General features: G+C 35.3%; 1 protein-coding gene across 6 annotated transcripts in view; it reads left to right on the top strand.

The window, feature by feature from the left end:
* Positions 1 to 16,331, top strand: part of DPYD (dihydropyrimidine dehydrogenase) — an 843,317-nt gene that overhangs the window by 232,616 nt on the left and 594,370 nt on the right. For all 6 annotated transcript variants that reach the window (XM_047448077.1, XM_017000507.2, XM_005270562.3 and 3 more), the window contains one exon: positions 9,262 to 9,349. In XM_047448077.1, coding sequence (XP_047304033.1) covers positions 9,262 to 9,349 — 88 coding nt within the window. The remainder of the gene's footprint in view (positions 1 to 9,261; positions 9,350 to 16,331) is intronic.

Genomic DNA, 16,331 nt, shown 5'->3' with positions numbered 1-16,331 from the left:
CGTATCAATTTTGCCAATATATTTCTAGAAAAATTTCTGCTTCATTGAGGTTTTTGAATTTATTAGCAAAAATTTAAGTCTACTATTTCAGTATACAATAAAAATATGTCATCTGTGCCTGTGATTATATTTGCTCTTGCATCTCTAAATTTCCTTTGTGTTTTCCTATCCAGTTAATATTTTCTTTAAAATAAACAGTTATCAAAGTTTTGTTTTCTTATTCATTAATTGCTGACTATATATTTATTAATGCTTTCCCCTGCTATTCTTATTTGTTAGTCTCTTTTTTAAATTTAGTTTTATTTTATTTTATTTTACGTTCCAGGATGCACGTGCAGGATGCGTAGATTTGTTACATAGGTAAACGTGTGACATGGTGGTTTGCTGCACCTATCAACACATCACCTAGGTATTAAGCCTCACATGCATTAGCTAATTATCCTGATTCTCTCCCTGTCCCTGCCCCACTCAACTGGCCCCAGTGTGTGTTGTTCCCCTCCCTGTGTCCATGTATTCTCATTGTTCAGCTTCCACTTGTAAGTGAGATCATGCAGTGTTTGGTTTTCCATTTCTGTGTTAGTTTTCTGAGGATAATGGCTTCCAGCTCTGTCCATGTCCCTGCAAAGGACATGATCTAATTTTTTTAATGGCTGCATAGTAGTCCATGGTGTATATGTACCACATTTTCTTTATCCACTATATTATTGATGGGCATTTTGGTTGATTCCATGTCTTTGCTATTGTGAATAATGCTGCAGTGAACATACACCTGCATGTATCTTTATAACAGAATGATCTATATTCCTTTGGGCATATACCCAAAAATGGGATTGTTGGGTCAAATAGTATTTCTGGTTCTATGTCTTTGAGGAATTGCCACACTGTTTTCCACATGGTTGAACTAATTTATATTCCACTAACAGTGTAAAAGCATTTATATTTCTCCACAGCCTCGCCAGCATCTGTTGTTTCTTGACTTTTTAATAATCACCATTCTGACTGGTGTGAAATGGTATCTCATTGTGGGTTTGATTTGCATTTCTCCAATGATTGAATGATTTTGAGCTTTTTTTCATGTTTGTTTGTTGGCCACATAAATGTCTCATTTTGAGAAATGTCTGTTCATGTCCTTTACGTAAGTTTTTTGTTTGTTTGTTTGTTTGTTTGAGATGGAGGATGGAGTCTAGCTCTGTTACCCAGGCTGGAGTGCAGTGGCACTATCTTGGCTCACTTCAACCTCTACCTCCTGGGTTCAAGCTGTTTTCCTGCCCGAGTGTCCCAAGTAGCTGGGATTATAGGTGGCTGCCACCACACGTGGCTAATTTTTTTATTTGTGTTACAGATGGGATTTTACCATGTTGGCCAGGCTGGTTTTGAACTCCTGATCTCAAGTGACCCGCTTGCCTTAGCCTCCCAAATTGCTGGGATTACAGACATGAGCCACCGTGCCTGGCCTCCTTTGTCCACTTTTTAATGGGGTTGGTTTTTTTCTTGTAAATTTGTTTAAGTTCCTTGTAGATTCTGGACATTAGACCTTTGTCAGATGGATAGATTCCAAAAATTTTCTCCCATTCTGTAGGTTGCCTCTTCACTCTGATGATAGTTTCTTTTGCTGTGCAGAAGCTCTTTTGTTTAATTAAATCTCATCTGTCAATTTTTGCTTTTGTGCAGGTGCTTTTGATGTTTTCATGATGAAATCTTTGCCCGTGCCTATGTCCTGAATGGTATTTCCTAGATTTTCTTCTAGAGTTTTATAGTTTTGGGTTTTATATGTAAGTCTTTTTTTTTTTTTTTTTTTTTTTTTTTTGAGACAGAGTCTCGCTCTGTCGCCCAGGCTGGAGTGCAGTGGCGCGATCTCGGCTCACTGCAAGCTCCGCCTCCCAGGTTCACGCCATTCTCCTGCCTCAGCCTCCCGAGTAGCTGGGACTACAGGCTCCCGCTACCACGCCCGGCTAATTTTTTTGTATTTTTAGTAGAGACGGGGTTTCACCGTGTTAGCCAGGATGGTCTCGATCTCCTGACCTCGTGATCCGCCCGCCTCGGCCTCCCAAAGTGCTGGGATTACAGGCGTGAGCCACCGCGCCCGGCCTATATGTAAGTCTTTAATCCATCTTGAGTTAATTTTTGTATAAGGTGTAAGGAAGGGGTCTAGTTTCAATTTTCTGCATATGGCTAGCCAGCTTTCCCAGCACCATTTATTAAATAGGGAATCCTTTCCCCATTGCTTGTTTTTGTCAGGTTTGTCAAAGACCAGATGGTTGTATTGTGTGGTCTTATTTCTGAGATCTCTGTTCTGTTCCATTGGTCTATGTGTTTATTTTTTTCCAGTACCATGCTGTTTTGGTTACTGCAGCCTTATAGTATAGTTTGAAGTCGGGTAGCATGATGCCTCCAGTTTTGTTCTTTTGGCTTAGGATTGTCTTGGCTATATGGGCTCTTTTTTGGTTCCATATGAATTTTAAAGTAGTTTTTTCTAACTCTGTGAGGAATGTCAATGGTAGTTTAATGGGAATAGCATTGAATGTATAAATTGCTTCGGGCAGGATGCCTATTGTCATATTAATTATTCTTATTCATGAGCATGGAGTATTTTTCCTTTTGTTTGTGCCCTCTCTGATTTCTTTGAGCAGTGATTTGTAGTTCTTCTTGAAGAGGTTTTTCACTTTCCTTGTTAGTTGTATTTCTAGGTATTTTATTCTCTTTGTAGCAGTTGTGAATGGGAGTTCATTCATGATTTGGTTCTCTGCTTATTGTTGGTGTATAGGAATGCTAGTGGTTTTTGCACGCTGACTTTGTATCCTGAGACTTTGCAGAAGTTGCTTATCAACTTAACCTATTGGGCTGATCAATGGGGCTTTCTAGATATGGGATCATGTCATCTGCAAACAGGCAGTTCGACTTCCTCTTTTCCTATTTGAATACTCTTTATTTCTGTCTTTTGCCTGATTGCCCTGGCCAGAGCTTCCAATACTGTGTTGAAATGGAGTGGTGAGAGAGGATATCCTTGTCTTATGCCAGTTTTCAAGGGGAATGCTTCCAGCTTTTGCCCATTTGGTATGATATTGGCTGTGGGTTTATTGTAAATGGCTTTTATTATTTTGAGGTATGTTCATCAATACCTAGTTTATTGAGAATTTTTTAACAGGAAAGGATATTGAATTTTATCAAAGGACTTTTCTGCATCTATTGAGATAATCATGTGTTTTTTTCTTTATTTCTCTTTATGTGATGAGTTACATTTATTAATTTGCATATGTTGAACCAGCCTTGCACCTAGGGATGAAGCCAACTTGATTGTGATGGATAAGCTTTTTATATGCTGCTGAATTTCATTTGCCAGCATTTTATTGAGGATTTTTGCATCAATGTTCATCAGGGATATTGGCCTGAAGTTTTCTCTTTTTGTTGTATCTCTGCCAGGTTTTGGTATCAGGATGATGCTGGCCTGATAAAATGAGTTAGGGAGAAGTCCCTTGTTTTCAATTGTTTGAAATAGTTTCAGAAGAAATGGTACCAGCTTCTATTTGTAATTCTGGTAGAATTCAGCTGTAAATCCATCTGGCCCTGAGCTTTTTTTGGTTGGTAGGCTATTTATTACTGCTTCAATTTCAGAACTTGTTATTGGTCTATTCAGGGATTCAACTTCTTCCTTGTTCAGCCTTGGGAGGGTGTATGTGTCCAGGAATTTATCCATTTCTTCTAGACTTTCTAGTTTATTTGCATAGAAATGTTTATAATATTCTTCGATGCTTGTTTGTATTTCTGTGGGTTCAGTGGTGATATCCCCTTTATCATTTTTTATTGTTTCTATTTGATTCTTCTCTTTTTTCTTCATTAGTCTACCTATTGGTGTGTGTGTATATATATATATATTTTTTTTTCAAAAAACCAGCTCCCGGATTCATTCATTTTTTTGAAGGATTTTTCGTGTCTCTATCTCCTTCAGTTCCGCTCTTGGAGTTATATGGCACTTACTCTCAAATCGATCACATAATTGGAAGTAAAACACTCCTCAGCAAATGCAAAACAACTGAAATAATAACTAACAGTCTCTTAGGCCACAGCACAATCAAATTAGAACTCAAGATTAAGAAACTCACTCAGAACCACGCAATTGGAAATTGAACAACTTGCTCCTGTATGACTCCTGGGTAAACAATGAAATTAAGGCAGAACTCAGGAAGTTCTTTGAAACCAGTGAGAACAAAGAGACAATGTACCAGAATCTCTGGGATGCTGCTAAAGCAGTGTTAAGAGGGAAATTTACAGCGCTAAATGCCACTTCAGAAAGCTAGAAAGGTCTCACATTGACACCCTACCATAACAACTAAAAGAACTAGACAAGCAAGAGAAAAATATCCACAAAGCTAGCAGAAGACAAGAAATAAGCAAGATCAGAGTGGAACTTATTTGTTATTTGCTGTAAAATCTTGAGTTGTAAACTTACTTCATTTTCATTTTATAGATTGAATAATGAAAACATTTAAAGTTATTAGTTTCAGAAAAATCTTTGTCAGCATCCATGTGTTTTCATTATTTTATTATTTTTATTTTTCTTCAGAAAGTAGGTTTTTTTCCCCCGTGTAGACAACAGTTATGTAGGATAGTATTTTCATTTGCTTCTGTATTCTTGTGATATAATTCATTATTTTTTCACTTTATTAGCCATATTTGCATTTTTTAAATTTATCAAGCATACTCTCAATTGATTTTACACCAAAGGATCATTTATAGTGTAATAAAATTGGGTATTCCCTTTAGGAGAAATGGCTTCTTAGCTGATGTTTATTTATACCTTTTTTTGTAATGCAACTCAGAATTTAAATAGAAATACATATTTTTGTTTCATGGTCTTTATATCCTAATTTTTCAAAGTTAAAAGTATAAAATATGAATGAAGATATTGCATTTTTGCATATTTAAAATATGTATATTTGTCATTTCCCAAAGTATTCTGATAGAATTCTAATTGATTACCTTAATTTGTAATTTCTATACATTTCTTCTGCTTCGTAGTTTTAGATGAAATATCTAATAGAGGTATTACCTTTTTCTTAATAACCTCTTATAACATCTTGTTTTCACTATGGTTATTTGAACCAATAATATCTGTGATTATGAGATAGTATTAGAAAATAAATATAAAATCATATTATTTCTCTCCCACAAGGAAACATGTACACTAATAGCTAATAAATAATTTTCATTTCTAAAGATAGCTAAATACTTTCAAAATTTCTTCATTTTATTTTCTATCTTAGAGCATCTGGAAATATTTGGTCTATTTAACCAAATTTTCTATTAGACAACTGTGAAGAGTATGTATGTTTTTATTTGATTTTTAAAAATAATGGGCATCACCTATTTTATTTGAAGATTTATACTCCACAAAAAAGTTGTCAGCCTTTATCCTGCATAATAAATGTTACTATGTATATGAATACATATTATAGTATATAAAGAAAGTTTTCATCAAATCCCTAAGAGACTATTAGATGGAACTTTGGCTCAGGGTATATGACATTCAGAACTGCTGGAATAAAGTAGTGACTATTACACTGAACTTGAAATAGATTGAATTTGTATTCCGAATTTAGGTAGGAAATATCTAATAATATGTTACTAAAGTCATTAGAGGAAGGTAGAATGTATATCTAAGAAAATCAAGATGGAAATATTACATATGTAAAAGTACAAGGAATAAAGAAACAAAAACACCAAACAAAATGCCCGTAATATGATTTTTCTAGCATCATATATATTTAACAAATAACATTGAGATTTCATAGCTTATCAGCCAACATGATGTTCCTGATAGCTGTAGTTGTCTTGCAATTCCAGTTTTAGTTAACACACATTTCATTTCAATTTCCCAAAGCATAATGTAAGCAAAGCTTTACTTTTGTTGTCAAGGAATCTTTCTTCTAATTCTTTCTAAGAATAGATTATTTCTTGCATGGCAAATATTTGGGGCCTCAGGCTTTTAGGAAAGGGAAATTTGAATAGGTTCCCATTCACAAAAAGGAAGGAAGCCTTGTGCCTGTCACTGCTTGGAATGTTCTTGTTATGGCTTTGTCCTCATTTCTACCAGGGATCTGCTGCCCAGTGATGACCATCCTCCATCTTTCCCACAATGTCTGTTCATGGTAAAGTCAAGTCTTGCTGGTCTCCATCCCAGTAGATTCACACCAAGATCAAGATACTCATCTTTGCAGCTTTCCATACATGAAAGGAAAACTCAACTGTTTTCTATCCCCATTTGCACACTATTGTGTATTAGAGTAGAATCAGACTGTATAAATACAGAATGAGCATCTTTCTTATATATTACAAAATCAAAGACATTTTCACTCTGCTGTGGTGGAAGAATTGGGATGTCTTTATTCCTCTTTGATAAATCACAAAAAGCTACTATTAAACTAAACTATTGTGCCTTCTCCCACAAATACCCACCTCAAAAAGGATGGGAGGTCTTCTTGAATCTTCCTGCAGAGGCACTGAATAAAGTAAACCTAAGATTAAGTATTTTGAGAATCACCTCCACCAATTAATTCATTGGCATGGCATTCCAGTGCTCAACTTTGAAAATGGCATACTTACTCAGTTTGCTAATATTCTATTAGAATGTTTGGACCTGGTGTTTTCTTTTATGTCTAACCTTTATTATATATTGGTATGAAGGGTATTTGATTCATAAAACAAACAGCGAAATTATTTTTCTTTTTCAATAAAATATGTATTATTTAAAAGTTAGAATAAATTAAAGTTCTAAAGCCTCACTATTAGATGATTTTAATAGCATCGAATTCTACTAATTCTAATAGTAATACTATTACTTACTATAAAATGCTTTGAATAATACATATTTAATTAATGTTCCAGTTTAATGTTTTTTGATACATTCCAGAGTTCTGAATATTCGTTATTAATCTCACCTTGGTTGTCCCCTTATTATAAACTTTCTGACAGTTACCATATCTGCCAATATAAAAACAGAATTACTATTTTAGGAAGACAAAACATTGCCCTCTATGATCCAGTTCCAGTCATATTCTCCTCTCCAACTTCTTGCTCCATTGCTTGCTTTGCACTTTATATTCTTGAAACACAACCTTTTTAGTAGGTCTTCACGTATAATATGCTGTTCTTTGTCCTTGAGGATGGTGCCAGCTCTGCCCTCTAACCTCAAGAGGCACAAGAGCACAGCAATTATGCATGTTGGCTCTGAAATTAGACTATGTATTTGACTGCAATAAAGGTTATGTAAGCTCTCTTGTCCTTTAGTATCATTATCTGTAAAATGAAAATACTGATAACACTTCATGGGGCTGCTGTGGGGATTAAATGAGTCAGTATATGCAGTACTTAGAAGAGAGCTTTACACTTAGGTGCACTATTCAGTGTAGCTGTAATTACCAGTTCATGGGTATACATTGCTCTTCTTCTATGACTCAGCTTAAGGGCTTTGTTTTTAGGAACATTTTGCCTTCAGAACACAAAGAAACCTACCAGGCATTGTGCTTCCTTCTATATGGCAGGAAATGTGAGATGCAGCTCTATTTGTCTTTTACTTTCAAGGGGACTTACTGGCACATACTTGATAACTGGATCTCTAAACTTCACTCAAGAGGCCAGTCCCTGATTATAGAGTTCATCTTCCACCCACTGGAGTGCAGATATCTTAACAGTTTCCAGCATATTCACCACCTCTTTTTCATGCTGTCTGATCTGCCTGATGTCGTCAAGGTAATGAATCACTGTGACGTTCTGTGGGATGTCCAGATCGCTTCAGATTACATATATTATTACTGAAAAGAGTTGACATATCCCTAAGGCAAAACTGTAAATGAATATTCTTATCTATACTCTGTGACTCTGAACTATTTCTGATCTCCTTCTGTAATTGGAGTGGAAGGAGTATGCATTTGCCAAATCAATGGCCACATGCAGTCTATGTGTGGCCTTATAAAACTTCTCTAGCAATAATACCACATCTGTAACAGAAACTGCAATCAGGACTACTCTTTAGTTAAGCCTGCAGACATTTATAGTCATCCTCCAGAAATTCTCTGGTGTTGGCAGGGGACAGGCTGGTGGATTAAATGGGGATATGACAGGGACCACTAACATCTCTCCCCATCCCATTGCACCCAGGATAGGATATTATCTTTGATTTAGTCTCTTGGCTGGATTTTCAGATATTTTCATGTGGCCTTCCCAACTATGATAGCTTTTATAGCTCTTACTTCACAGACCAGAGACCCAATGTAGGGATTACTTCAATTGACAAATGTAACAATTTCAATTATGCTCTTAGAGACTAGGAGAACGATCACTAACTGAGTTGTGGTTTCAGTGGGCCCACTGTGAACTAGACTTCAGTCAGGCTCCATTTTTTACCTCACCCTGTAAGTACCCACTCTTATGTTTCCAAGTATCAGTATTACTGAAGAACCAGTGCTTAATAGTCCTTGAAATGTCTGATCATTCCCCTTTTTCCAGGGCTTAGTTGCTTGGATAAATGACCATAGTTTCCTTTGGGAAAGGACTAGGGGAATCACAGTACTTACTTGTAGGGATGTTTCAGGGTCTTTCTTCCTAGGGACCCTGACACCTCCCTGGTCAGCAGGTTCCAGAAGTGAAAATTATCTCATGTCTGGGAACTGACCAAGCATTGTGACTTTTACTAGGGGTGACTACCCTCTGCTTCCTGACTTTATTCATTTTCCCTTGACACTGTCCGTTATCAAAATCCTGTCTTTTCCTTTTAAAGGCCCTATTGAAATCCCACTTCTCTGTATTCTCAACCTTCTAAGCTTAGCTAAAATGAATCTCCCCAGCCTCTGAACTCTCATACACATGTGGTGATCATAGCTTGTTTTATGTTACATTTATTTGTGTATATCTTTTGCCCCTACTTGACTGTACATTGATGCTGGAAATGTGTCTTATTTATCGTCTTATTATTTAAATGCCCCACATCGTGCTTTGAACATATTATGCAAGCTATGGAAGTTTACTGATGGTTTTAATGACACTGGCTTTTCTTCTGCATTTAGCCCTTAATAGAACATGTTCCTGTTCTATTTATATACTATTTTGTGTATGTAAACCTATATACTAAAAGACAAAAATGTTGTCACATTTTATATGGAATCTCATAGAATTTTTGGCTGACTTTTCATTCTTTTTGATGTTAAATATTAAGATTTTAATTAATCATATGCCAAATTTTCTTATGCAAAATATTGTTTCTTATAGATAATTTGCGGTAAAAGCCTTTCAGTGAATGAAATGACTCTTAGCACTTTGAAAGAAAAAGGCTACAAAGCTGCTTTCATTGGAATAGGTGAGTAGTTTACTCTTAAATATATTTATTTATAATGTATTTTTTTATTTCCTAGCAATATCCAGAAGAATGACTGCCTTCAGACATTTTCGTGATGAAAGTTATATTTGTTCAGGGAATAACAGATAGAAATGATTGGCCAAGTAACTAAATTTCTATTTTATAAGTAGGAGTGCTGTTTCACCTTAATTATGGAGAGATTTCGGCAAGATGTTTATCTTCCCATTCTTTCACCACACCATCATCACCAGTGAGAATCTCTAGGAAGAAAATATTTTCAAGTCATACCACCAGAAACTCAGAATCTGTCTAGAGGCTGTAGCTTTCTTTTTATGATAAAAACAATTGATTAAAGTGATCATAAAGGATGGAGTTGGCTCGTTCCCTTTGCTATTCATTTTCCAAAATTTTCTAAAGACTTTTCTTATTTGGTTGAATTTTTTAAATGTTTCATCAGTGTTCTGAAAGTCCCATAGACAGTGTATTACTCCTGAGGCACTCACTGTATACTGTTTTCTCATATTTTGCCTAAATATGTTATGGAGAATGAGTTTTCTAACATTTTTCTTCCACTTAGTGTTTACTGAGAGACCAGAGAGAACAAGTAAGTTGGCTTGACTTAGTCTTTGCCTCATGAATGTCATATTCATTCTCTGATATGATTTGTACTATGGGCAATTACGGCATATAAATGGAGTATGTTAAATCGGGGTCCCCAAACTCGGGGCCACGAACTAGTACTATACTGTTAGGAACCTGGTCACACAGCAGGAGGTGAATAGTGGGCAAGCGAGCATTACTGCCTGAGCTCTGCATCCTGTCAGATCAGCATTAGATTAGATTAGAATCTAATGGCATTAAATTATCATAGGAGTGCAAACTCTATTGTGAACTGGGCATGCGAAGGATCTAAGTTGCATGCTCCTTATGAGAATCTGTAACTAATGCCTGATTATCTGAGGTGGAACAGTTTCATCCTGATACCATCCTCTTTCTCCAACCCGGTCCATGGAAAAATTTTCTTCCATGAAACTGGTCCTTGGTGCCAAAAAGGTTGGGGACCACTGTGTTAAATTGTTACTCATTTTTAATATAAACTCATCGTCCTGTATTTTACTTTGTCTGTCTCTTCGGCAGTTCACACTCAGAATATGAAGTTCGAAATAATATCTCTTTAAGTGATCACACACTGAGTAATGTTTGTTTTGCAGCTGTCCTTTTTCATTGCCTTTCTGAAGTGCAGTCATCATTAATGCTTCTTTGTCTACTAAACTTTTCTTATCAAAATGCCATTTCTAAGACCATGCCTGTCAGCCCCTTTATTTAGGCAAAAAATTATGGAAAGCAATATAAATTTACACTGTCTTCTAGCTCCTAAATGTCTCAACTGAACCTCCTTCCTTTCAGAAAATTTTGGGTGCCATTGTCATTAGTATCTGTCTGTATGATCTTAATTACAATATTATATTTATTGTGTATATCAAAAGTAGGAAGGAGGCAAGATCTGATATTTTCCCTGGGTTCTATTTTTAGGCATACTATATTTGACTTTAGCTTTACTTTTCAACATTACATTTGTATTGATAATTTAATGTAAAGAAATTGGGCAGGTGTCTGTAAGTTCCAATTACTCTCAATAAACACATGATCAAAAATGCTTGGTCAGTAATAAGTGAAAAATTTCATCAGGCTTTAGGTCTGCAATACTAATAATGTTATCAAATAACTATTTGAAATTCACCAATGTACTAAAAGATATGTTTTCCATTATTTGAGTATATACTAATACAATTATTAATACATGTATCTGTAAGAACTTCATCTACAAAGAATCTTTGTACTGAAGGAATATGGACCAATAAAATAACCAATACATTGAAATATCCAAATTAATTACATAAGCAAATTATTCCAAAAATGTGGAATAATTAAATTGTTTATCACTCTGAGTAGTTATAACCACGAAACACCTTCTAACTGAAATAATCAATAGTGTTTCAGCTTTTTAATTTAATTTTATACTATTAAGTCCCCTTAAGTATATTATTTGATAATGCTATACTGGTTCACAATACAGTTGTCTCCATTTGACTCTGCACTGAGGTGTGAATACAGCATTTAGAATGTAGAGTCCTTTCATATTTATGTGCTGTGCATTTTCATGCTGAGAAGTGAATCTTTGACATTTTGGTGTAGTGATGTGAGGAATGCAGTTATGCTCTATTTCAGTATTTTGTATGAAACATATACGAGAAAAATTTCATCATGTCAAAAAGAAAAGCTTCAGTCTGTGGAAGACAAGTAGCCGTATTCTCTAGGAAATGTTTATTTGACACTCATGAGTGTCGATTTGGGAATTTATGACCTTTGTATTACCATATAACTGGCGGTTACTTGGACAGCCACACAACCTTACATGTTTTTGTTCATTAACCTTGCTTCCATATTGTAATTAAACATTACTCACTTATTTTATCTACCCTTTCTCACTGATTTTGTAGGAGGAAATGTAGAATAGGAATTCCATATTATTTAGGATATACATTTGGGCAGTTTCAGAAAACAATAGAGGGTAAAACAATATAAACGTTTAGTTCTTTCTCATGTAACAATGTAAGCCATTTTCAAACCTGAATTCCGTCTTTGGTCTGTGGGTAGTTACCATGTTCACATTCATGCTAATAGAAGTGGGAAAGAGGGAAGCAGCTCCTTCAGTCTTATATTTATGAGCCGGAAGTTACACAAATCAATTCTTCTTTCATCTCATTGTCTGTTACCTGATCATATAAGCATGGCAACAGCAGAGGGTGCTGGGAAGTATTGCCTTTTGCTGGGTGGACATAATCCCCATCAAACGTCTAGAATCATAGGGAAAGGGGATGACAGATATTGAGAGAGGATAGAAATGAAAGTCTCTGTTACAGGTGTGCATCATCATTAGTATTTGACACAGGAGATCAGTAAAGTACTTAGTAGCAAAGAAAACACTCTTAGTACCTGGTGCATACATGTTGGTTACATAGGTAGTTTTTAAAAATGGAGATGGTAGGCCAGGCGTGGTGGCTCACACCTGTAATCCCAGCACTTTGGGAGGCCGAGGCGGGTGGATCATGAGGTCAAGAGATCGAGACCATCCTGGCCAACATGGTGAAACCCCGTCTCTACTAAAAATACAAAAATTAGCTGGGTGTGGTGGTGTGCACCTGTAATCCCAGCTACTTGGGAGGCTGAAGCAGGAGAATCGCTTCAACCGGGGAGGTGGAGGTTGCAGTGAGCCGAGATCTCACCACTGCACTCCAGCCTCCTGACAGAGCAAGACTCCGTCTACAAAAAAAAAAAAAAAGAGATACTTTCTCTTTCTGTAGTTGGAAATGCCATAGTTATTAATCTTATGTGTTTATAACTACTATCTTATTCTACGTTAGATTGTGTAAAATAAAAAATATTTTTAATTAACTATGACATAATGAAGATAGCTCATTAAGCCCATTGTATTAAGTCAAGTCTGTTCACATGTTTCCTGATTTTAACTATAGTGCATGATATTGCTCATGAAAAGTCTCTCATTTTTAGAGTTTTCTCTAATACTACCACAGTCCAAGGAAATTATCTCATTGAATGTACATCATTGTTACTTCTAAAGACTTATGTCTCTTGAACCATGAGAAGTTTAGCTTCTTCTAAGTACTGAGATAAAGCCCTATGTCTTATTCAAAATTAGTCTGTTATCTTCACAGTAATTGAGTCATTGTTAAAGACTCTAAAGTTTTGGTGGTTTTACTGAAATCAGAGCACCTGGACAGCATGTTACTGAAAATATTGAGACGTAGAATTGGAACATCTACTATACAAGGCTTTTAAAAAATATTGGATGGCTCTCTTTGTTTGGTATTGAAATTGACATAATAGGTTACAACCATTGTTTCTTCCTTTTTATTTTATAAAAATAACCAGAAAATAATAGAATAGAACATATCAAAGTGTGTTGGCTATGGTTAGGGCAAGTGTTATTTTGTGAAAAATGTTTTTCACCTGTGTGTATGTGTGTTTGATGTGTGTGCTTGCACGTTCACACTGCATTAAAATAAAATGTATTTTTTAAATATGGCTCTAGTTAAAGTTTGATAGCCAATGCTATACAATGTAAGGGCTCTGATGGACTAAACACCTTTTTCCCATAGTATACTCAACACCTATCAATAAGTAGCTATTAGTGAGTTAAATAAGTATTGAATTACTACAATCAATGTCCCAAACACTGTGCTAAGAATTTAAAAAACAATAAAGAAATCTGAATTCGTTGTTTAGGTTGGTATTAAATTGAGTCAGAAATATCATAAGACATTCAAAAAGAACAACCATATTGCACAATTTCAGGAGTGGGACGTAGTGTGGTAGACGGGCTGGACATGGGTATAGTTCCTTTTTTTTTTTTTAAAGTTCTGTGGGTAATTTTATTCTAGAGCCAGGTTTAAGAGTCACTGTTATAGATAACTGAAGAGATGGACCCTTCGTCTTTGTTTTAAAGAAGCCCATTTATTTTTCTCTTTCTGATTGTTCATCTTCTGATAGTTTTCATCTCATAGCCTCATAAAACATGATAGTGCCAAAAAGGTTAAACAAGCATGCAAGGGAAAGAACATCCAGTAAGACACATTTAGGTAACTGATCAAACTTTATATGTTCTTCTGCCAAGTTTTTCTTTCTTTGAATTTTTGTTTTTAGAATGCATGAGAAAGAAGGGGCTAAGGGGAAAATGCAGTGAAATCAATTATAATAGTCACAGTAGACACTACGAAACAGGAACTACAGGAAGGTGTTGTAGAGATGAATAGTCTTTTTCAACACCAAGTGCTTTACTTGTGTCCACCCAAAAGATTTTCCTTGAACTTACTTCTTGCTACCACCACTCCCCTCACTTAATGCCACTGGGATACTGCTATGGCCTCAACCAGTCTCTTTGGCCACCACTGTTCACACAACAAAAGTAGTAATCATGCTGAAATCAGATCTGATCATTATTCCTCACTAAAACTCTTCCATAGCTCCATATTTCCTTCCAGATAAAGAAAAGTCCCCACGAAGGTTTTCAAGGCTCTTCTTGATTTGGTCACAGCTATGTCTCTAGTCACTTCTCCTATTAAATTATGTGATTCAGCCATTCTGAACTGTTTTTAGTTTTACCTTATCTGAAGTTTTTTAACCTCAAGTTTTGGACATGGACCTAGAGCTATCTTTGTTTTCATATTTGTGTTCTTGACTTCGATGCTTTTTTTCTATTTGATACAATTATTTTACTTGTGATGATCTACTCCCTACCTTCATACTTTAGCCTGGATTAATGAATCATCTTCCTCACCCCCCACCCCACACAAACTCTGTGTTCCTGCTCTCTATGTTCAGACTGGACTTTTTACTGTAGTATAGCACTTCTTCACCTTCTTTATTATAATTCACTAGTTACATGTTTGTTTCCACCACTAGAAGTTAAGCTTCTTAAAGACTGTAGATTCTGTCTGCTTTCTTCATTGACAGATGTTTGGTGCCTAGCAAAGTGGCGGGTACATAGTAGGAACTTTATACGTATTTTTAGTTATTGATTTTAAAATGCAACTCTTTTGACTGTTTTCCAAAATAAAGTAAATTTATAGGTTGCTTAACAAAGTTGGCAATTTTGGAGTATTATAACATTGCCCAAACCCAGGGGGAATACATTTTACATTATTATAATTTTGGTATTACACTATTCCAAGTAGGAATAGTGATATTAGCAGTGGTGATATTGGTAATAATAGCAGTAACAGTGAATAATATTCCAGGCTCAATTCTTAACATGATCTATCCTTTTAACTCTTAAAATGGTCCTTGATGTCGATATTCTTAACACTCTTTGATGGGTAAGAAAATTAAGACTATCAAAGGTAACAGAAAAGAAGTAAATGGCAACTAAAGCATGGAAAGTGAGTTTTATAAAGAAAGTAAAAAAAAAAATAACAAGTGCAAATATCCATACTTCAATTGTGACTCAAAGCCAACATGACTCTGTCTACATTTCAGCATCTCACTTAAGATTCTTGAAGAGGGTAAGCTGATACTCAAGAAGAATTAGTCTTTATATTTAGCCTCATTTTTCTCATTGTTATCACAAATTGGTTTTCTTTTAGTTACCATCAGAAAATAATATTTTTTTAAATGTGAAGATTCCCAAATATTATAACAGACAAATAACAGATAATTATAATTTAAAAAATCCATCGAGAGATTGTGGTATTAAATTTGCTACAGAGTGGCCTTTAGTTAAATCTCTCATGCCTTCACAAAGCCAGAATTATTCTCTATAAAAGTTATTCTTAATTGGCTTCTTAATCAGGAATTTTTAAATTGTACATAGTTGTGTATACTTTCTATTTATTCAGAGGAAAATGCAATTAAGTTTTTAGACCATTTGCTTTACTTCTGTCCCCAGATAAAAATGTAAATTGTTTAGTCACTATCCACAACTATGAATAGATTATTTTAAAAAATAAACCTGACTTAATTTTAAGCAAAAAGCAAGTCTTGAGTATTTTGCCAATCTACTTTTTTTAATTTGTAATATTGTTTAATCTACTGTCACTTGTAAGTACTTCGGTGTAATTGTAAAATGGCTCCCAAGATTTTGGAAATGAGGGAAATAGAATTCCAGCTGAGAGTTCATTAAATCATTACTTAATGAGTTCATGCAAAGCCCCAGAAGGAGATAAAATAGATGTAGGGCAATTATTCTTTGATCATATTAACATATCTATAGAAAGCACATATTAATCTGCAGAAGCAGGCAATGGGGGCTGGTCATCTTTAGAAGTATTGAGGAAGAAAAGGAACCTGCAGAAATATCAGCAATATTGACAGTGGCTCTTTTAAGGCACCTGAATCAATGGACCGGGAGTTCTTTGAGCCCAGGTCGTAAGATAGACAGAGAAGTCTATTTTAGAGACCTCTG

Source organism: Homo sapiens, chromosome 1, assembly GCF_000001405.40.
Source record: "Homo sapiens chromosome 1, GRCh38.p14 Primary Assembly".
NCBI lineage: Eukaryota > Metazoa > Chordata > Mammalia > Primates > Hominidae > Homo > Homo sapiens.
The sequence above is the reverse complement of the archived record's forward strand: the minus strand, read 5'-3'. Positions and strand labels throughout refer to the sequence as shown.